This window comes from Homo sapiens, chromosome 20 (genome assembly GCF_000001405.40).
Source record: "Homo sapiens chromosome 20, GRCh38.p14 Primary Assembly".
Taxonomy (NCBI): Eukaryota; Metazoa; Chordata; class Mammalia; order Primates; family Hominidae; genus Homo; species Homo sapiens.
This window is the reverse complement of record NC_000020.11, coordinates 38,984,538-39,007,295: the sequence shown is the minus strand read 5'-3', so window position 1 is coordinate 39,007,295 and position 22,758 is coordinate 38,984,538. Positions and strand designations below refer to the sequence as shown.

The window sequence follows — 22,758 nt, the reverse complement described above, 5'->3', positions numbered from 1 at the left end:
AAGCTCTAGCACCGTGGCCAGCATACAGCAGGTGCTCTGCAAACATCTGCTAAAAGAAAGATCAACATCAAAGACTGAACAAGGACAATAATAACCAGAAAGGAAAAGAAGAGACAAATGGCAGAGCTAAAACCCCTGGACCTTCTTTAGGGGCAGCCACACCAGAAGAAACAAAACAAAATAAAAAACCCTGGGCCTGGTTAAGTGAATGCAGATGGATACTGGATAAAGAAGAGAATTAACAATGACTTGGAAATTGAGTCTGGACAACTGGGGAAAATGTCAGCAGCATTCCCCACAGAAGAGAAGTGCAGAGAAAGAGCAGCTCTGGGTCCATCACTGTCTATAGGTAAGGCTGTCTTCAAGCTGGATAGAAAGCTCCAGAAAGGCTGAGACAGTATTAAAATTGCCTTCTGTTCCCTCAGAGCCTAGCATGATGCACAGCACAGAGGAGGAGCTCACCAACTATTTGTTTTCTATGAATGAGTCTCCGGACAGACCTTCCATTTTCACTTGGCAAAGATGCTCTGAACCAGAAGTAAAAGGGGAACCCAATGTGAGGCTCCGCAAGACTCAGGGATCTTGGAATACAAAAACAGCACATTAAGTCAAGAAAGAAAGGCAAGAAAGACAGGCTCCAGGACACACAGCCCACACCCTAGGGACAAATGGCTACACAGGCCTGTGCCCAGATGTTAGGTTAGAACAGGATAGCAAATAAGCAGTCACTCACAGGCCAGCTTTGGCCAATGGGGACTAGTAACAAAGAAACACCATATTTAGAGTGAGGAAAGCAGTGGGGATCTGATTACACAGGGCCTTGTGAGGAAGGCCTGTATTTTATGTTAAGTTCTACCATTAGGAGTAAACATTTGCTACACTCTGTTGCCCAGGCTGACTATAAGAAAGTCAAAAACCCTTAGGGAAAGCCACACTAACCTGTATAAAGGCGATAACATTTTCCCGAGCGACTACGACCACCACGTCCTGCTCGCTGATTAGCTGATGCCTGGGAGACTGGCACCACCACCAAGCATTCAATAGCTGTCCTGGGATTGTAGGCTCGGAGTTTCACAAAGCCACAGTCGATCACATACACAATGCCGCTGATTGTGATAGAGGTTTCTGCCACATTGGTGGCCACTATCACCTACGTTCCCCACAGAAAGAAGAATAAAACTCATTTTATTCTTTTTGCTTTTAACAAACTCGTAAAAATCCTAAAAGATTTAACATTTCCAACATTGCAGAATCTGTGAGAGGCAGTTTAATATACTAGAAAGACTGTGAGTTTCCAAGTCAGGGGGTGCCCTGGGTTTGAATTCTCCCTAATCATGTGACCCTGGACAAGTTACTCAACCTCCTGAACCTGTTTCCTCATCTACATAATAAGATTTACCACCTCCCCTAGGGCTACTGAAGGGACTATATACAATTAATATATAAAGTGATCAGAGCCTAGCATTTGTTAGTTTTTCCCTTTGGCATAACCAAAGTAAATCACCCTCCATCTTGCGCAGGTATAGTCATTTATTCATTCATATCATGATTACTTTCTGAGGGTGTGCACTTTGCCAAGCACTGTTCAAGGTGCTGGGATGTAGGATAAACAAGACAGACAAGGCCCCTGCTCTGCCAGAGTTTACATTCTAGTTTGAGTGTTTAGGGTGAAGACATGCTGAACATAAACAAGAAGATAATTTCAGAGAACAACAAATACTATAAAGAAAATATTAACACAATGAGGCAATATGATATGATGTAGTATATAACATGTATATTATATATTATTGTAATAATAGGGCATGCTACTTTACTTTTGTTGGCCAGGCAGAGCCTCTGTGAAAGATTTTGAGCAGAGACCTGAGTAACAAGCAGCAGCCAACCCTATAGAGATCCAAGAATAAGAAACAGTTCAAAGGAAGGAGAAACAGCCAGTGCAGCCAAAATACAAAGTACAAGATGAGGTTGCAGAGGGAGGCAGATATGCAATCATATGTGGTCTCTGGGCCACCATGAGGTATTTGAATTTTATTCCCAGTACATTGGGAGCTGCCCCTGAAGGGTTTAAGTAGCAGGGGACACATATATATAGCAGTTAGAACTTTTTTCAGGCACTTTACATTTTATAAATCATTTTATAAAAATTATTTTATAAATGATCATTTTATAAAATAATCTTTCTAATATTTTTATGTAGTTGGGATTAAGATGTTATGCTATAAAACCACCTATCTGAAAGTTATTATTATTTACGTTTTACAGCTGCAAAAACTCAGATTCGAGGTTAAGTCAGTTGTCCCAAGGCACATAGTAGCTCAGGGGCAGAATCCAGGTCTCCTGATTGGCTGGCTGCAATTAATGTTTGACAGGGCAGACTCATGTTGCTCCATCCCAATGGTCAAGGGGCTGAGCACCCTCTTCCAGGTGGTCTGAAATTGGGAGTGGATCCTCAGACCATCCCTCACCTGCTCTATTCTCTGCCATCTGTTGATAAATAGCTACTACAGTAAAAGCTGTCCTCGGGCTGGTTCTGTGCAGTCCTCATCTAATGAAAGGAAAAGGCAGAGTCAGGCCCAGGTGGACTGGCTGCCTGCCAGCTCCTTCAAACCAATGCTTTCCACCACACCCTTCCTCACTCTCACTTCAAGGCTAAACATTTTTAAGCCACACCTTGAATTAATTGATTTAAACTTGGCCCTTTAAAATAGGCAAGCTGATACTTAAAACAAATTATTTAGAAACCATGTGTACCAATTTTTCTATTGCTCCTGACTGACCTCAATCCCCCTAAACAATCCCTTAAGCCAAAGTAAGCATGTGTCGTGGGAAATATTAGGAAGGCAGAAGAGAAGAAAAGAGAAGTCACCTGATCTGATAACTACTGTCAAAGTGATCCTTCAGTGGGACAGGTTTAGAATCTTCACAACAGGCCGGGCACGGTGGCTGACGCCTGTAATCCCAGCACTTTGGGAGGCCAAGGTGGGCGGATCACAAGGTCAGGAGATCGAGACCATCCTGGCTAACTTAGTGAAACCCCGTCTCTACTAAAAATACAAAAAAAAATTAGCCGGGTGTGGTGGCGGGCGCCTGTAGTCCCAGCTACTCAGGAGGCTGAGGCAGGAGAATGGCGTGAACCCGGGAGGCAGAGCTTGCAGTGAGCTGAGATCGCGCCACTGCACTCCAGCCTGGGCAACAGAGCGAGACTCCATCTCAAAAAAAAAAGAAATCTTCACAATGTATTATTTATTGTGTGCTTTTAGATCTACTACACAGAAATATGGACCTAGAAGTCTGCCTTGTGTTTAGCAAGTTTCAAAACAAGTAAAGGAGCATCATTATGATTATAGACGGCTGCCAACACCCTTGGTCATCAGGATAGTCTCACCTTTCTGACACTGCGTGACACCCTTTCAAACACTTTCATTTGCTCAAAGGAAGGCAGTCCTGCATACATGGGGAGAACTCGGAGGTGTCTCTTCATCCCAGTGCGAGCTAGTGCTCGAGCCTGCTCGATGAGCATCGACACAACAGTTTCTACCTCTTCCTAAAGACGTTGAACCAGGAACCAAAGAAACCGAGATCAATTTAAAGCATGCTATTTTATCATACTGAAAGAAAATAAAAGTTGGGATCTGGACTTTAATTTTGGTCAGATTCAAGAATTTCAGTGCCGTCATGTTCCACTCTGGGATGGTATTTAATTAAATGCTAATACACAATGATGACAATGGGTGAAATTTTGCAACTACACTATTAGTTACTAAAAACTCGGTATGATCTGCAATGAATGGAAGAGTTCCCAATAAATAAAAACGATGACTATTTTACTCAGCATACATATACGGTGTCAAACAAGCATCTCATGCATATAGACAAGTTGCAGCATATAAAATCACTGTAAGCTTTCTCCAAAAAAGATTACTGAACCATGGAAAGTGTTTGGCAGTGGAAAAGATTACAGTTGGAGGGCAGGTCTGAATAGTGCTGGCCACCGTCAGCGAGCACTTGGGTCTGTTCAGTTGTTTTACCAGTAATATGGCCACTTATCACCTCCAGGATGAGCTGTAAAGGTGTCACTGGAAAAAGAGGTACACAGCAGCAACATGTGTGCAGGACATGGACCTAATGTAGTATCCAATTCTGGCAAACAAAATAGCCCTCACTCAACTACCTAGTTTATTTTGGAATCAGCTAATACATTTAAAAAAACATTTAACCCTCTGCAGACAGAACAGGCAGGGGCTAACGAGTCCCTGACAATCTAGATGGTAGATGAATGACATCAAATCAATTTTCTACACAATTATGGAACCACAAAATACAACAAAACATGAAATACATGACTGAGTAAAGTAACAAGGCTCTGTATTACTTTTGGTGCTGTCTTAACATGTCTATTCATCAGAGAAGTACAGTGGCATTACCTGGCCAGTAAGAAATGCTAAAACGTCTCCGTCTCCCTCTGTCTGGTGAATTTTCACCACAGTTTCGACAGTTGATTTGATATAATCTGGAACAGGACTGAAAAGACAAATGGGATGAATTCATCACTAGAATATGCTCATTAATTACAGATCAATTACCCTAATAATCTGGCAGCAAAGCTCATCAAAGTGAGTTTGGGCCTGCCCAGTAGGTAATTAGTACAGGATAAACAAAATAAATATTCATTTTTTTCAAATCTAATATTCAAGAATAATCCATAATTATATGTCAACTATGATTTTTAGCTTTATTTGGAAAGAAATAACATGATATACCCATACAAATAGATGTGCTATCTTTAGTATGCAAAGACATCAGACCAGTGAAAATCGGAAGCTGTGGTCCCAGTGCTGAAGCCCACGCTCTTCCCAGCCCATTTTCCCTCCTAACCAATAGCAGCATCTATGGGTCGGCTGGATGGCCCTGATGGATGAGCTCTCCAACAAAACGATTCAGAAATCAAGTCCACGACTCTGGATTTATCAGCCACTGGAACAGGCTCCTGGTCTTTTTTTGTCCAGTGACTAGTACAGGAATTAGGATGGCCCCTTCCTTGTCCAAGTAGGCTACTCCTAAAAATGCCAACTGGGCCTTCTCGCTAGGGATGTAGAGAACTGAGAGCCAAATGATTCAAATCACCAATACTGCCCCTGCTGACAGGCAGCCTTGTAAACCCCAGTTCTGAAAACTATCAAGCTTCCCTCCCCAAAACCTTTCACCACTTTTGCTCTCTCTGGCTGAGCTACTGGCCACAGACTTACGGAAACTTGCATGTCAGTGTGAACAGTTTAAACTAAATTCAGCAGTGATCCGGAGCAGGGTAAGAACATTCTAGACCAATGACTAGGGACACAAAACATGCTCCTCCCCATCCTTTAGAGTTGTGAGCAAATGCAGTTCTGACATTCTACATCAGAGGCTGAGTTTTCTAAACACCATCATCCAGAATTCAAGCATCATCAAACCTTTGTAGATAAAAGATATCCACCGGAAATGTTCTCCCTTCCACTGTAAGGATCACACATGTATCCCTTGCTGGATCACTGGTTTCATTTTGATTAAAGAAATCCCGGAATTTCTAAAAAGAAAAAAATTAATTCTTCATTTCTCTTAGAAAAAAAGGTTCGTAGCGATTCATGGAAAGAAAAAATAATATAAAACTTGCCAAAGACAGGTGAGTAGCAAGATTATATATGTGCAATACAGATTATGGGTTGCAAAATACATTTTTTAAATTCACATTTTTCTAACTGTAATTGTGGGGAATCACATTTCAATGACAGTGTCTTTACTAAAGTTTTAATAAAAATAATAAAGGTTAGATTTCAAAACTGCATTCAGCATAGCATCTGAGTTAACATGTAGCTTTAGTATTATTTATATTATTCCTATCCTCTGTATTTCATTTAAGCAAAAATTAGGTCAAAGGTGTGACTCAAGTTCAGTACAGGTTAGATGAGGTTGGTGGGTAACTCTATCTGGAAAACACAGATATGATCATTTGATAGGAAACTTTTCCTTCTGTGAACAGTAGGTGTGTTTCCGGCCCCATTGTTACTGGTTTTAGGCCACTTGATGGCAGGGATAGTGTCTTCTCCATCTTTACACGCCCTACAGTAGTGAGTGCGAGGCTTTGTATGGGGTAGGCCATCAATCATGTACTTCCCCAACACTCGTGCAGTACCCTGTTGGGAGAAGTGTCTCTTGGCAGTTTCTGCCAAACAGGTGTCCACATCCTATTTAATGGTACTTGACCACCACTTGCAGCCCACAAGGAGACCTGTCTTGAGGGCTCCAGCCAATGATGGGGGAAGGAAACGCCACCAAAGATCCTCTCTTGGGGAATGTGACCCTAAGGTACAAAGAGAAGCTGAGACTGAGAAGAGCTAAGTGACCATGCAGGCAGGCAAGTGAGCACCAGATGGGAAGCAGCTGGTGCCCACTGCAGAGGGGGCATGGATATCCCGTCGGGTGGAGTGCTCCATTATTTGAATCTGGGTGCCCTTTCCATTCCCCACCTCTACTCATTTCCCTGAGGCCTGGCTACATAACTACAAAGCTTGTCTTTATTTCCCTATGTACCTTTACAAAACATGCCCATCCTGCTCCAGGAAACCCAGGAGCCCAGGAGCTGTGCTAACGAATGGCATCAAACGCTAAGTGAAGGGGCTCTGAGGGGTACTTTTAAAAGAGTAAACTGGATTTAACCACAAAATACAGGGATGTTATATATTAACCTCAAAATTGAGAAGAATAAGCACAGACATCAAAGTGCCTCATGTCAACAAAACTATGTTTTGCTATGCAGAATTCCACACAGTACTCCTGTTCACTTTCTTTTGGGTAAATTCCCTTCAAGTTGCTTCAGCCTTCCTGCATCCCTATGACATGCACAGCACAGGTACACTAGAAGTGACATACAAACAAGTGGGAACAGACACCCCATGCCCCAAAAGAGTAAACAGTTCACAGAAGGCAGACGTGCAAAGAGTTGATCATAAAATAATCCCTGAGGCAGATGACCCTGTGACCAGGAAAGAGCTGCAGATTGCAATCTGATAGAAGGAAAAGTTAAGAACTACCGGCTTTCAGGGAGAGCTTCATGGAGAAAGCAGTATCCCTTGCCTGCACTGTAAAGGCTAAGGAGGATTATTACTGGCTGGGAAGGGGGAGACATCCCTTCCCAGGACAATAGCACAGTATGGACTAAAATGTAAAGGGGTCCCTAAGGGAGGACAGAGGCAAGGTCTAGGCCTCCTCATCTCTGAGTCAGCTCTCTCATCTGCAAAATGGACAAACTGCTATCCACCCTGCAAGGTTGCTGTGAGGTTCAAATAAACTATGTGGGATAGTTGTGACACACATCTAGCCTAGAATGGCACTCAATAAGTGATGTCAGCCATAACTCTGAAGGGACCCAAGTGATCAGCTGCACTGGCACTTTATTCGATGGGCAAGACAAGGGCAGTGAGGATGGGCATGATATTATCAGACCTGTGAGCTGAATCCCAGACTCCAGTGGCCATTTTGGAGGAGGGCAGAGGAAATAAGAGATTCGAGGCAAACAAACTAATTAATGAAGCTATCATAATAGTGCAGGGGAGACAAAGTGTGAACCTGGGCAAAGCATTCCAGAGATACAGCTGGTGGGAACTGGCAATCAGTGAGTGAACGTGCACACACGTGCACATTGGAAAGAAGGCTAGAGTGACTCTTACTCGACCGGGGATAAAAACTTCTTAAAGCAATGGAGGTCTTGGCCTAAATGACTATGATCATGAGAAAGAGACTGAGATGGAGAATCAGAGAGTCACAAGTTTATGAGTTTAGGATGTCTGTGGCTAGCCAGCTGTCAGACAGCTAAGGCTGGTGTGCAAGCACACAGTCAAGACTGCCACAAGCACGAAGGCTCAGCTGAACCAGGGACCACAGGGGTGTGCAGCCTTGAGAAGGAAGAGCAGACAGAGAAGGGGCCCAAGAGGAAGCCAACAAGGAGGTAGGAGAGGGAAGTCAGCAGGGCTCCAGGAGCTATGGAAGGAGAAGGAGGAAGATTTTACCAAAGGGCTTGGACAAGGGTGAATGTTACCAAAAAAGCAAGCAGAACAAGGAAGAAGATGATGCCTTGACAATTTTGTTAGAGTAGATGCCTAAACCTTACCGTTAAGGACTATGTGGTACTGAAAAGTAAAGAGTTACTCTTTCAAGAATTAAGACTCGGCCGGATGCGGTGGCTCATGCGGTGGCACTTTGGGAGGCCAAGGCGGGTGGATGGCCTGAGGTCAGGAGTTCAAAACCAGCCTGGCCAACATAGTGAAACCCCATCTCTACTAAAAATACAAAAAAATTGGCTGAGCGTGGTGGCAGGCGCCTGTAATCCCAGCTACTAGGAAGGCTGAGGCAGGAGAATCGTTTGAACCTGCGAGGCGGAGGCTGCAGTGGGCCGAGATCACTCCATTGCACACCAGCCTGGGCAACAAGAGTGAAACTCTGTCTCAAAACAAAAAGAATTAAGACTCAGCATTTACTGAGAAGGCACAAGACCTTTAAGATCTTTATCTTGTATCTTTATTTGGAAATACAAAATACATAAAAAAGTAAATAAATATAGTACCAACAATGCAAGAATCTTGAGGCAGAATCAAGGAACAAGAAGAGTAAAATAAGTTCAACACACCCAGAAAAGAAGAATTTGAGTCAGGTTTGAAAGAGGTGGGGTCACATTGACATACAGACATGGTAAGAAGCATACATCATAAAAAGGCAGGGGACAGTCTATGAAATGGAATGTAAATGATATGGCCATCTGCAGGGTTGTCTTCTAGCTCACCATAGGCTCCTTCCCTGGTACCTGCTCCTTCCTAACCCACTGGAGTGGCCGATAAGCAGCTATGTCTACCCAACACACCCATGATTGGCCAACAGCCTTGGCCCATGTAGACTGGTCCAGGGTGGAGACCTGACCCCAGCTGATGCTAAGTTCCTTCTCTAAGAATCTGGAAAGAGAAATTAGTCTCTCTTCAAGTAGCTGGACTTATGACAAAAAAACTATGGGAGCTACCAGCAACCATATATTCTGCCATGCAGTTGGACGCAAATAAAAGAAAAGCAATATCATCACGTGATACAGGATCAATAAATACTTCATAATTATATCCAGTCATGTTATATAATTGTTCGTTTAATTGGGCTTACATTAAGAAAGCAGATAAAGCAACCAAAGCAGCTATTCGATCAGCCCCATCATGCTCTGCAGGTCTCTGCCTCCCGGCTGCAGCCACTGCTGTCTTTGTCTGCAGGCTGGGCCACCCCAGTCCCTGAGAGAAACCACGGCAGGTGGCCTATCAGCAGCCCTAGCTCTAGGAGGTTTGAAATTAGTCTGTCACCCACAGACCCAGCCGCTGGGGGGCAGGGGATGAGTTCTGGACTTCCCTACGCCTCTAGATCAAAATGTTTCCTAAGCCACACCCAACCCCCCTGCCACTCCCACATAGTCCTCATTCTTGCCCTCTTTCGCCCACTTATATCCTCTTTCTTTCTTTCACTCACATACGAACTCACATCCCATACCTCACGTAGGCCCCTCACACACGGACCCACAACCCACACAGAGATGACTCACACACACAGATCCCCCATTCACAGACACTTAGAAACCACCGTTCCCCTCACACAGGAGGCACTGGCTGAGCAGCAAGGACAGGATAAGAAGGAATGGCCCAGCTTACCAGAGGTCCAGCATGTCCCGTACCACAGCAGAGCAAGGCATGACAAAGTTCCTACATGCTGTCTTCCCGCTTACAAAATTGCTTCCAGAAAGTCATCTATATCAACTACCATAGACAGAACTGAAAGAAGCTATTTTTTTCATCTCTGTGTTCCACCAAGACAATAAAAGGCAATTGTGAACAATTAGTAAGTATTAATTAACAATGAATCTGGCCAGGCGTGGTGGTTCATGCCTGTAAATCCAGCACTTTGGGAGTCCAAGGCGGGAGGATCACCTGAGGTCCGGAGTTTGAGACCAGCCTGGCCAACATGATGAGACCCCATCTCTACTAAAAATACAAAAATTAACCAGGCATGGTGGCTCATGCCTGCAGTCCCAGCTACTTGGGAGGCTGAAGCACGAGAATCACTTGAACCTGGGAAGCAGAGGTTGCAGTGAGCTGAGATCACACCACTGTACTCCAGCCTGGGCAAGACAGTGAGACTTGGTGTCAAAAAATAAATAAATAAATAAATAAATAAATAAATAAATAAAATGAATCTAAGAAAAGACTTGGACATTATAGTTTTCAACATAATAAAAACTGGAATAATTTTTAACTTAATTTAATAATTTTTAAGGTGGGGGGTGAAAAAGAGATACAGATGTTCTGTGTAATGTAGCCACAGAGGAGCTAACTAGAGGTGAAGTCAGCCACAGTCCACAAAATAGCATGCCAGCAGATACCATGGGTGAGGGAGATGACAATTAAACAGGGCAACAGAGGAGCTTTAACCCAAAAGTTACCATGGGCAGACCTAAAACAACAGACTCCTACAGCCTGTGGAAAGGTCTGAGAAACCAGTCTCGGGACACGTTGGACATTTACCTTCGCTATGGTAAGCTTTCTCTCTCTCCAAGTTGTTCTGTATCCCAGAAGCCACAGGGAGACTAGGAGCCAGGAGCCAGGGACCACATCTCACCTGGATTTCAGAACTGGCCTCCTTACTAGAGACTCCATATCTACTCTCATCTCCTATACACAGCACTCAGAATGATCTTTATAGAGCTCAAACATGATGAAGTCACTGCCCTCTCTCACATGTTCCCATGGCTCCCAACCAGATACAGGATGGAGTTCATCCTCTCTGGCTGAGCCTCTAAGGCTTTCCGTCATCTGACCCCAACCTCCCCATTTTAATCTTCCATTACTTCCCAGTCAGTCAAAATTCATTCAACCCAAGTGCCTACTCTGTGCTAGACATTGTTTTAGGTGGAAGAGATAAAATAAGACAAAGTCCTGATCTTCATGGAGCTTATATTTTAGTGACAGGAGACACACAATAAACAATGCATATAATGTTAAATAGTGATAGACAAGTGAGAAACATAAAAAAAATCAGAATAAGGGAATAAAGAGCAACTGGGGTGCTGTTTTAGAGAGCGCCTCTCTGAGGAGATAATAAATGCTCAAAACTGGAATGAAATTAGGAGAGAACCTTAGGCTGTCCGGGGAAGGAATGGTCTAAAAAGAGGGTTCCTCCAGAGCAGAAGCATGCCTGGGTTGTTTTGAGGAACAGCAAGGAGACCAGTGAGGCTGAAATGTAGGGAGCACTGGAGAAAGTGGAAGAAGATAAAGTCAGAGAGGGAGTTCAAGGGTAATTCACCCATGAGGGCCTGGCAGGTAAGATAAGACTCGAAGCTCCATGAACTCATGGTCATGTCCCTGTGATTTCACTTATATTTAGGGTGCCCTTCCCCACCTTCATCCATCTGGAAAACGGCTGTCCATCTTTCAAGCACAGCTGGTAGGTCACCACCTCTGCGAAAGTTTCTGGACACCCCCCAGCTGGCTGGAGTTAAGGGCTCCCTCCTTAGCTGCCTCAGAACTTTGAACACACTGAACTGCAAACATCTATTTCTGCATGTAAATATAGTAAGTGGTCAAAAGTATTTGTTGAGTTGAGCTGCTGTTTAAACTATAGGTCCACAAGAGAGAAAAATAATGTAAACCTAGCCACAGAAAACTTTAACATGGAAATTATTATATATACAGGAGAAACTTTTTTTTTTTTTTGAGATGAAGTTTTGCTCTTGTTGCCCAAGCTGGAGTGCAATGGAGCGATCTCAGCTCACTGCAACCTCTGCCTCCCAGTTTCAAGCAATTCTCCTGCCTCAGCCTCCCAAGTAGCTGGGATTATAGGCATGTACTACTACGCCCAGCTAATTTTGCATTTTTAGTAGAGACGGGGTTTCACCATGTTGGCCAGGCTGGCCTCAAACTCCTGACCTCAAGTGATCCACCCACCTCAGCCTCCCAAAGTGCTGGGATTACAGGTGTGAGCCACCGTGCCCAGCCCAGGAGAAACTTCAATTGCACAGAAAAATCTAAATCTATACAGTATAGTCATAAATAAACAAATTCAAGAAATACAGGCTTATACTGAAAAAACAACAAAAAGAAGCTGTGTAAGTGGGGAGAAAGACAGTATGTAGATAAACAAGACAGGTAGGTAATTATGAGCTCAATTAATTACAGTCTAATTTCACAAGCTGAAAAGGAGTAACCTCTGATTATATGAAATCTAGGACATCAGATGGTCCCATAAAGAAGATAGGGCATTCTGCCAAAGATAAGCTCTTGCTAGAGGTAACTTCCCAAGGATATATAGGACAAAAGTGTTTGTGAGGAGAGGAGGAAAGGGGAGGCAAGGCTCTTACGTCTGCATCCAGAGTGGCTGAAGCTACAATCAATCGAAGATCCCCTCGCTTTTTCTGAATCTAAAAAAGAAGACATTTGGAAATAATGATAATAGTGCAACACTTATGGATGAGATCATTTGATATCTGAAATGTATTTCAAAAATTCAGTGTCTTTTTTTTTCTTTTTTGCCTGAGGAGGAGGTAAGGGAGCTTACAGATGAAAGGACTGACTACAAATTAATAATTGTCAATAAAGGGGGGGGGGGGTCATTACACTATTACTTCCAATTTTGTAAATGTATGCAATTTTCCAAAGTAAATTTTTTTAAATTATAAAAACTATAAAGAAGCTTTAAGACCCAAATTTGAATTTACTGAGAATAAAACCATTTTTTCCTGACACCTGGGTCTCAAGATAGTTTGAATCTATGTATGAAAAAGTATATTAAAAGCAAACAAACAATAAATGATAACACCAAGACAGAAATATGGCAAAAAAAAAAGAGATAAAAGATATTAACAGTTACTCAAAGAAACACATAATCAACAGGCATTGGAGAAGTGACCAAATGAGCTACAGCTAAGATATATAATAACAATGAGATTTTTTTTTCCCCATCTATCCCATTGGCAAGGATTTATTTTTTTAAGGCTAATACTCAGTGTTGGCAAAGATTCAGTGAAATCGGCCCTCTTATTATACCGTTCCTGAAAAAGGTAATAACATGGTACAATAATTCCCTTAAAGTATCAAAAAATCTAAATCTTTGGCAATGGAATAAAATAACAATGAAAATAATAATAATAACAACTAATACAGACTAACTTATGTGCTAGCCCAGAGGCCCTGCATACAGGTACACAGTGTACCCACTGTGCAAAGATGCCTGGCTGAGGGGGCTAGGGGCTTCAGCAATCCGGTCCACCTGCCTCCCACCTAGCTCTAGACATCCTCCCAGAGGGAACATCTTTTTCTAATTTGCACAAAAGAACCTCACAGTCTAGCTGTGACCCTATGCCAGGCACCAACCTAAAAGTTTTTTGCTATCTTACTTAAGCTTCATAACAAATCACAATATACAGTACCTATGTCTAAAAGAACTCTCTGCAATGATGAAAACTTTCCTTATTTGTACTGTCCGATGCATAAGCCACTAGCCACCTGTGGCTATAGAGCCCTTGAAAAATAGCCAACGTGAAAAAAAAAAAAAAAGAAAAGAAAAATAGCCAATGTGGCCGGGCACAGTGGCTCACGCCTGTAATCCCAACACTTTGGGAGGCCGAGGCAGGCAGATCACCTGAGGTTGGGAGTTCAAGACCAGCCTGACTAACATGGAGGAACCAAACCCCATCTCTACTAAAAATACAAAATTAGCCAGGCATGGTGGCAAATGCCTGTAATCCCAGCTACTCGGGAAGGCTGAGGCAGAAGAATCGCTTGAACCTGGGAGGCAGAGGTTGCGGTGAGCCAAGATCACGCCATTGTATTCCCGCCTGGGCAACAAGGGCAAAACTCCGTCTCAAAAAAAGAAAAAAAAGAGAGAAGAAAAGAAAAATAGCCAACGTGACTGAGAACCTGAATTTTTTTACTTTCTTCTATTTTAATTAACTTTTATCTCAATAGCTACAGGTGGCTAGTGGCTACCATAAAGGAAAGTATACCAGCACAGATATAGAGACTACTATTTTCCCCATTTTAGAGATGAGTAAACTCAGCAAAGCCAGAATTTGAACCCAGGTAGTCTGACTCAATGCCTATGCTCTTAATCACCCTGTTCTACCACTTCTTTCTAGACTCTAATTGGGAATCTGTCCAAAGAAAACAATCAGAAAATATGGGAAGGGAGGAGAGAGTGGAGGTTAAGATTGAAACAAGATTGGCTGTGAGTTGTAATTGTTGAAGCCAGATGAAGGGTACATGGGGGTCATTATACACTTCTTTGGGATATGTATGAAACCTTAATAATAAAAAGTTAAAGAAAATAAACAGAAATGCAGCAGATTCAATTACAAGGGTGCTTGCTACAACAGTATTTATAATATTTAAAATCTGCAAGCCATATAAATTGCTAACAGTAGGGGAAGTTAAATACTTTATGATAGAGATGTGATTAAATAGCCATTAAAAATAATATCTTCAGAGAATATTTAAATGACACAGAAAAATGATCCTAATGTAATGTTAAGGGAAATATGCAAGATACAAATTAGTATATATAATTCAATCAATCCCTAGTATGCCAAAACAGATCCAAGTACACACACACTCACTCACACACACACACACACACACAGAAAAGAGAAGAAAATATACCAACATTCTACCACTGATATTCTCTGAATGGGTAGGATTATGGATGATTTTAATTTTCTTCCTTGGTATTTTGTTGTACTTTCCAAGTTGCTACAGTTGCTTTTGTAATTAGGCAATAAAATAAACACACACAATGAAAAGCTGGCAGTGAAGTCATACCTTTTTTAGCAAGCCAATGGCAATGTCAGTGTACAAGGTCCTCTCGTGGGCTTCATCCAGCATGATGACACTAAGAATCAAAGAGAAGCTCTCAGTGAGCCTCTAAAAAAGCCACACATCATCTCATCTAGACCATCAAAGAGCTTCTGGGTATTTAGTCCTCATACAATCACTTTGCATCAAAAGTAAACCTAAGTCACTCTTCTTTGACAATGAGGCAATTCTTAGGTTAATAAAAACGGTGACATTAACATACCTGAATTTTAAAAAGTGTACTATTGTTATCTTTAAGCGTTTTACCATCCACACTGAATTCCAACAGAATTTAATATCTGATTTTAAATGAAAACATAACCAACCTATAACCCCACAGAACACATAAAAATCAGAACAAAGCCCAACCATCTGAAGACTGTTAAGCTATAACAACAGTCAAAGAGGTAGCTGACTACAGTTGTGACACACGTGGGCCAGGGGGTCAAATGTGACACTCTCCTCGAGAACACCAGAGCCTAGGTAGGACAGCTTTAATGCTGTGAGTGACAGACAGATAGACAAAGAGGGGGAAGTGATAAAAAATTATTTGGACTCTGTATATTACATTTAACACAGGGCAGTTAGTTCTCTGCAGTCACCATCAATACTGGAGTGTGACAAGGCAAAATAAAAAGGACAAGTCACCAGACTAAGTAATGATAGGAATTTTAATGTGCCCATTTTTGAGTGTCTGTAAAGGGCCATACTATTTAAATTCTGAGAAAAACACCAAGGGTCCCAACAGCCAAGGTCAAGAGAAAAGCTTTGGGGCAGCTGAACACAGACGTGAATCCCAGCTACTAACACACCTGCTTCTCCGTCTACCTGGGGACTTTGGAAACTAGGAAAGCTATCATAAGAAAAACACATTTACCTATATTTTGTTAACAACGGATCAACCATCATTTCCCTGACCAGCATTCCATCAGTAAGAAACTAAAAAATAAAAACACAAAGCTTTAGAAATAATTCACTTACACTACATATTAATGGTATTTTTTAAGTTCAAGTGCAACCTCTTTGCCAGCATGTGTACAAGTAAATTCCCACAAAGGACTGTGAGAAAATGCCCCCATATTTTCGTTATCAAGCAATGTAATTGTTCACAAAAGGCTTTAAACACAGGGTCCTCAGCTGGAGTTGCAAATCTTTGAGCAGAATTTCACTTGCCTTTATTATGGGAACATCAGCTATGCCCCATTTCCTCTGGGCTTGCACCACCAGTACTATCGATAAAGAGGCAGTGAAGACTAACTGGTATCTGCCCAAAGAAACACCCTAAGTGTAAGATAATTGCTCTTCAAATGTCCCAAAGACTATAGATTGCAGTTCTTGAGGTTATTAACTTAAACTTCAATTAATATTATTTTACAGACTCTAGATAGGATCATGGTTAAGCACATGGGCTATGGTGTCAGACTGCTGGGAGTTCAGATCCTGGCTCTACCTCTTACTAAGCTGTGTGAACCTTGGACAAGTTACTCATCTTCTCTGTCCCTGATTGCTCATTTGTAAAATGAGGTAATCAAAGTATTTACCTCACCAAGTTAATGTGAAAAATAAATAAGATAGTATAGTAGTTCCTCGGTATCCTTGTGGGGTTGGTTCTAGAAACCCCCCCAACCCACACCAAAATCTGCAGATGCTCAAGTCCATTATATAAGATGGCATAGTATTTGCATGTAACCTATGCATACCCTCCCATATATTTTAAATCATCTCTAGATTATTTAGAATGACTAAAACAATGTAAATGTTATGTAAATAGTTGTTATACTGTATTTTTTTAAATTTACATTATTTTTTATTTTTATTTTGTAATATTAGCAATTCAAGGTTGGTTGAATCCACAGATGCAGAACCCGCAGGATGCAGAGGACTGACTGTACATGTAAAGCGTTTAGCATAGGACCTAGGACAGAGTAGTGTTTAAGAAAAGTCAGCTAATATTATTTCAGATTAATGAATCTTTATAAAATGCTTCAGACACATACAGTAACAGCCTTCTTAACGTACTGAATTTGTTTTCAGGTTAAACCATCTCCCTTGCATGCTGTATCTTAGGTGTTTTTTACTTTTTTTGTTTTAAGAGCAGGATGCATTGCCATCATATTTTTCTTGGACCTGGTACTAGCTGCCACATACATACGTAGTGAGAACTTCCACCAATGACAAATCACCAGTCGAGAACTGAGCACCTTGAAATTGTGACCAAATGGAATACAAAAGGTTTTTATGGACGGCTCAAAGGTTTTCATGGTTATGCAAACCACTGAAAATTAGCTAGTTCAAATATATTTGATGGTACAGAAAAATATTCCCTTCACCTAGCAAAATGAATATAACAAAATATGGCAATCTGGAAAATAAGGTCTACATTTTTACAAATCACTACATTGGTCATTCAGCTCATCTGATTTTCAATTTTCCTCTGTTGCAAATTAAGAGGTAACTGAGATTCTAATAATCAATTTTCATTTCATCAGATTATTTTCATTCACTGTTTTATTGCACTGTCTGATTAGACTTTGATTCTAGCACGGTGGTAGGTAGTACACACCCTGTTGAGTTGATTATACACTGATTACTATTGATACTAATTATTTTAACATTAGCAACAAGGCCAAAGAACACACATGTAAAATCCATTTTCATATGAAAATGGAAAAGTACTAATTAGTGAAACAACATTCATGAATTCTACACTTCATCAACTTATACTACTCTATTTTTAAGCCTTTTACAGGCTTGTTTCTATATTTCGATTGCTATTTGAGTCAGTGAAAATACAATAAAATACACATAAGAAAAGACAGCTTTGAGTCTTGGTCCTATCACTGATTGGCATATAATATCAGGCAAGTCATTCAACCTTCCAAGCCCTTAACCTCTTCATCTTTGGAATCAAGGACTAAACCTGACTTCCAAGCTCCTTTCTGGGATAAGATTGCAGGACTCTTTGAAAGAGCCCTGTGTCGGCCGGGCACAGTGGCTCACGCCTGTAATCCCAGCACTTTGGGAGGCTGAGGCAGGTGGATCACGAGTCAGGAGATTGAGACCATCCTGGCTAACACAGTGAAACCCCGTCTCTACTAAAAATACAAAAAAAAAAAAAAAAAAAAAACTTAGCCGGGTGTGGTGACGGTCGCCTGTAGTCCCAGCTACTCGGGAGGCTGAGGAAGGAGAATGGCGTGAACCCAGGAGGCGGAGCTTGCAGCAAGCAGAGATCGTGCCACCGCACTCCAGCCTGGGTGACAGAGAGAGACTCTGTCTCAAAAAAAAAAAAAAAAAAGAAAAAAGGAAGAGCTCTCTGTCTCCTAGCTGACTAAAGTCTCTGAATGTCAGGATACTTTTCTTCACTTTCTGCCATGGTATCAATGTCCTGTACAGCAGCAAGGACTACATGTTTTTAATTCTCCCAAAATAACCTTCTTCCTTATTTCCACTAGGAAAAGCAGCTTGAGCACTTTACCTTAATTCTCGTGGCCAGCTGGTCGGTGCAGTCATCAAAGCGGATGCAGTAGCCCACCTCGTGGCCCAGCACTGCACCCCTTTCTTCAGCTACTCTCCCTGCAACCTTTGGGAAGAAAGATCATGCTGAAAATAGAGACATAGAAATTACTGCACAGCGCACATACTATGGAAAATCTAAAGGTCATTTATATTTTAAATAGTATGTGAACACAATGAAAAATGAAAAGAGACAAGTTATTAGAGAACAAGCATAATAACTTTTGCAATTTTTATTATTATTATTATTGAGACAGAGTCTCACTCTGTCACCCAGGCTGGAGGGCAGTGGCACAATCTCGGCTCACTGCAACCTCCACCTCCCAAGTTCAAGCAATCCTCCTGCCTCAACCTCCTAAGTAGCTGGGATTACAGGCAAGCGCCACCAGGCCCAGCTAATTTTTGTATTTTTAGTGGAGATGGGGTTTCGCCATGTTGGCCAGGCTGGTCTTAAACTCCTGACCTCAAGCAATTTGCCCGCCTCAGCCTCTCAAAGTACAGGGATTACAGGCGTGAGCCACCACACCCAGCCAATTATTAACTTATGTATCTCACTTCATTCTATAATGGTCTTGGGGCAACTTATAAGAACATACACAATGAAAAACAAAATCACATAAAAATGTTACGGATCAAGATCCAAAAAATTACAGAAAAAATTTCAAAAGATCAAAGCCAATGAGAAAATGTTAAACATAGATATGCCAAAATTATTCAAGTTGAGCCACAAATTCAGCTCTAAATTTGGTGGCCAAAGCAAAAAGGAAAGTAAAAGAAATGACAAGATTCACCCTGTTCCTAAACAAAGGGCACACTAACCAGGGACAACTTTTCATCTCCACGCTCGAAAAGAAAACCCATCCCCCGGGACCATGAAGGCAGAACAGGAATTACCATATTCAAAGCTGGGCCAGTTTCATTTTCTCATCGAAGGCAAAAAGCTAAGTTTCAAGAATGAGATACCTGAAACAGTTCACAACTGTGTCCCAGCTGCCAAAGCCACTGAGAGGGGAAATACAGACAAACTCAGGTTTAAAACAAAGGGGGCAGATGAGTGGATGAGAAGATCAATAAAAAATCCAAGGTAGCATAATAAAGTGAAAGACAAAATATGTAATACATTATGAAGACCATAAACTATAGACAAAATTTCATCCATCAAAACATAACAAATAAAAAATGAATGCAGGAAAGAGAAAAATGAATCCAACAGCAAGATCTCTGCATTCCCCCAAGAAGGCTATTCAAAAGTTAACTTATTAATAGAAAATATTTAAAAGAATGAACAAGCATAAAAGTGGAAGAGCAATAATGAATATCATTTAGTTTAATTTAAAAGAAAATAGGACCGGACGCGGTGGTTCACACCTACAATCCCAGCACTTTGGGAGGCAAATCACCTGAGGTCAGGAGTTCAAGACCAGCCTGGCCGACATGGTGAAACCCCATCTCTACTAAAAATACAAAAAGTTAGTTGGGCATGGTGGCATGCGCCTGTAATCCCAGCTACTCGCAGGAGGCTGAGGCAGGAGAATCACTTGAACCCGGGGAGGTGGAGGTTGCAATGAGCCGAGGTCACACCACTACACTCCAGCCTCGGTGACAAAGAGACTGTGTCAAAAAACAAAAAAAGAAAGAAAAGAAAGTTTAGTATTCACCACCACATAAACTACCTAAATGAAAAGAACCAAAGGGAAGCAATATTAATAGAGATTTCCCAGGGCCCAGCACACCAATCCCCACAGAAGGAAGGAGTTCAGTCTCCCTCTTTCACAGGTGAGACAACCTCCCCAGCACCCACGCAGTTCCCAAGTCCTGACTTTAGAACATGGCTGGCACATGTGGTGTCCTGAGACAGAGCTTACTGCTCCAGCCTTTCCACCCCAGCAGCCCCAGGCTCAGGAGGGCAGAGGCTCCCTGCCCTCAGCTTCTGAGCTAGGCACACCCAGGCGTTTCCTGCCCATCAGTGTTTAAGACACTGAAGAGCAGATGAGGATCAGAAGCAGCTCTGCCTGGTGACTTGAAATTATAGAATGGGGAGGCCAAAACCAAATCAATCATCTGGCAGCTGGTCTATATCATGTAGGCTTTCAAAACGTCTTATGAAACCAGAAAGTTATCCTACATTGCTCTGCCTCTGGTGGTTGTATTTCCCAATGACCAGCATTTCACCAGGACAGATTTGTTATTGTTACTGTTCCAATTTCAACCCTACATGTCGTTATATTATAAATCTCAGAATATGGTACAGGTAGAGAATGTGTGCATAGAGATACTAGGAACTTATGGAGAAAATAGGCTTATAAGAATGAGCATACATAAATATATATACACCTACGATGTACCCACAAAAATTTTAAATTTAAAAAAATGAGCATAAATTAACAAATCTCTGTAAAAATATAATCATTTTATGGGTCTATAAGGTAAAAGCCAAACCTGTTTATTCTTACTCCTTCACTATTTGAATACATTTGCTATAAAAAGTATGTATTTTTATTTTCAAACTCTATTTTTAAATTTTTATTATTTATAATCACACAAGGTTATATTCTCTTGGCTTTTTAATAGATTTTTATCTCTATCACTTTAGTTCTGCTCCCAATAACCTCATCAACTAGACTGGACAAATACTATCTTTTTGACAGACCAAAAGGAAAGGGAGGTAAAAGACCAAAAAAAAAAAAAAAATCACTGAGCACCTACTACTGGCAAGTGCTGTGCTCTAAGCTTTCACAAATTTGTATCTCATTAAATAGACACACAGCCCATGAGGTAGACGAGACACTGTTGTATTTACAAATGAGGAAACTGAAATAAGACAGGTGTTAGAGCTTATTCTGAATCACAGGTCAGGGAGGACCTACCTGGTCTTGAAGTCAAACCCAGACCACATGAGTTCAACAAGCATACTCACTACTAATTGCCTCTCACAGAGATCAAGCAACAGCTTATGCAATCTGTTTTTAGGCTCTGAGATTGTTTGCAGATTTTAGTCTGCACATAAAGTACTTTCTGAGATGTAGCATTTCAAACTTGACAGCTCTATTAATATATTACATGCTCTTTGCTCTTTCAAGAGAAAGCTGTGGTTTCATGGAAGTTATCCATGGCTACAAATTTGGAACTAAGATGCAAACTGATTAAGAGCTGGGATTCCAAACCACAAACAGGAAAAATTGTTCTAATTTTAGGTAACTGAGTCATCTTTTAGTGACAAAAAAGATTAACTCCAGCAGCATTTGCAACTTGGTTTCCAAACTGTTAGCCCCATTTTCATACAAAAACACAACACACACACACACATAACTTCTAAAACTGTATAACTTCTTAATTGAACACCATTAGAAAATGAACTTTGGGCAAAACAACGACACAATAATTAAAACTCAGTACAGAACAAAAATAACTTGGGGAAATAGAATTAATTGTTTGTCCAGGTAAAGGCCACAAACTAAAGGCCCTACTTCCTTTTCTTTAAGCCTTTTTTTTTTTTTTTTTTTTTGGAGATAGGGTAAAGGTTGGAGTACAATGACACGATCATAACTCACCGCAACCTTAACTCCTGGGCTCAAGAGATCCTTCTGGCTCAGCCTCCGAAGTAGCTGGGACCACAGGCAGGTGCCAGCATGCCCAGCTAATTTTTTTAAAAATTGTTTTGTAGAGACAGGGTCTTGCTATGTTGCCCAGGCTGTTCTCAAACTCCTAGGCTCAAGCAATCCTCTTGCCTCGGCCTCCCAATGTGCTGGGAATACAGGCATTAGCCACCACACCCAATCTCTCAGAGCTAATTTAAAAACAACAAAAGAATTCAAACATACTATCAACAAAAAACTTATGGTGGCTCAGACTTCTACACAGTGATCCTCAACGCCAAAAGGCAGTGAGCAAAGTCTGCAGTTTGCAGGGACAGTGTGAATCAAGAATTTTATATCAACAAAAACCACAACTGAACATTCTCAAGCATATTAAAAAAAAAAAAAAGCTGAATGATAAAATTCAGCCAATACAAGAAATAAAAGCAAAACAAGCAATTCAAGGTTAGCAAAACCATAGAAAATAACTAATGATGAGTAATGAATCCATTCAAGCTAGAATTAAGGTTAAACACCTGTGAGAATTATGATTAAGAACATGTATATTATAAATCTTGAAATGAAAATGACAGGACTGTATCTACAACAAATGGAGAAAGGGAAGGTGGAAAGAAGAATACATGTGCTAATTTCCTCTTCTTTCATAACAGGAAACTATAAGGCGTAATTTGAAATATAGGTAACATCTTGAATTTTTTTGTACTCTTTTTTCTTACTTTTCAAGCTTTAATAAATTATCTTGCGGT

General features: G+C 41.2%; 1 protein-coding gene across 11 annotated transcripts in view, besides 1 other annotated feature; it reads right to left on the bottom strand.

Annotated features, from left to right (window-relative positions):
- Positions 1-22,758, bottom strand: part of DHX35 (DEAH-box helicase 35) — a 77,378-nt gene that overhangs the window by 32,426 nt on the left and 22,194 nt on the right. For 9 of the 11 annotated variants that reach the window (XR_007067474.1, XR_007067475.1, NM_021931.4 and 6 more), the window contains 8 exons: positions 18,379-18,483; positions 15,781-15,842; positions 14,871-14,940; positions 12,416-12,475; positions 5,454-5,566; positions 4,428-4,524; positions 3,389-3,547; positions 940-1,150 (listed from right to left, as the gene is read on the bottom strand). Coding sequence is in view for 8 of the 11 variants with exons in the window: in NM_021931.4 (NP_068750.2) it covers positions 940-1,150; positions 3,389-3,547; positions 4,428-4,524; positions 5,454-5,566; positions 12,416-12,475; positions 14,871-14,940; positions 15,781-15,842; positions 18,379-18,483 (877 nt within the window). In the remaining 3 variants the exon portion in view is untranslated. Of the gene's footprint in view, positions 1-939; positions 1,151-3,388; positions 3,548-4,427; positions 4,525-5,453; positions 5,567-12,415; positions 12,476-14,870; positions 14,941-15,780; positions 15,843-18,378; positions 18,504-22,758 lie in introns of those variants that run through there. The other 2 variants (NR_033905.2, XM_006723848.4) reach the window with 2 other exon arrangements.
- Positions 19,165-19,284: an enhancer, noted in NCBI's record as "active region_17878". NCBI's record gives its function as "activates an Ori minimal core promoter by ATAC-STARR-seq in GM12878 lymphoblastoid cells {active_cell/tissue: GM12878}" and the evidence as "EXISTENCE:reporter gene assay evidence [ECO:0000049][PMID:35858748]".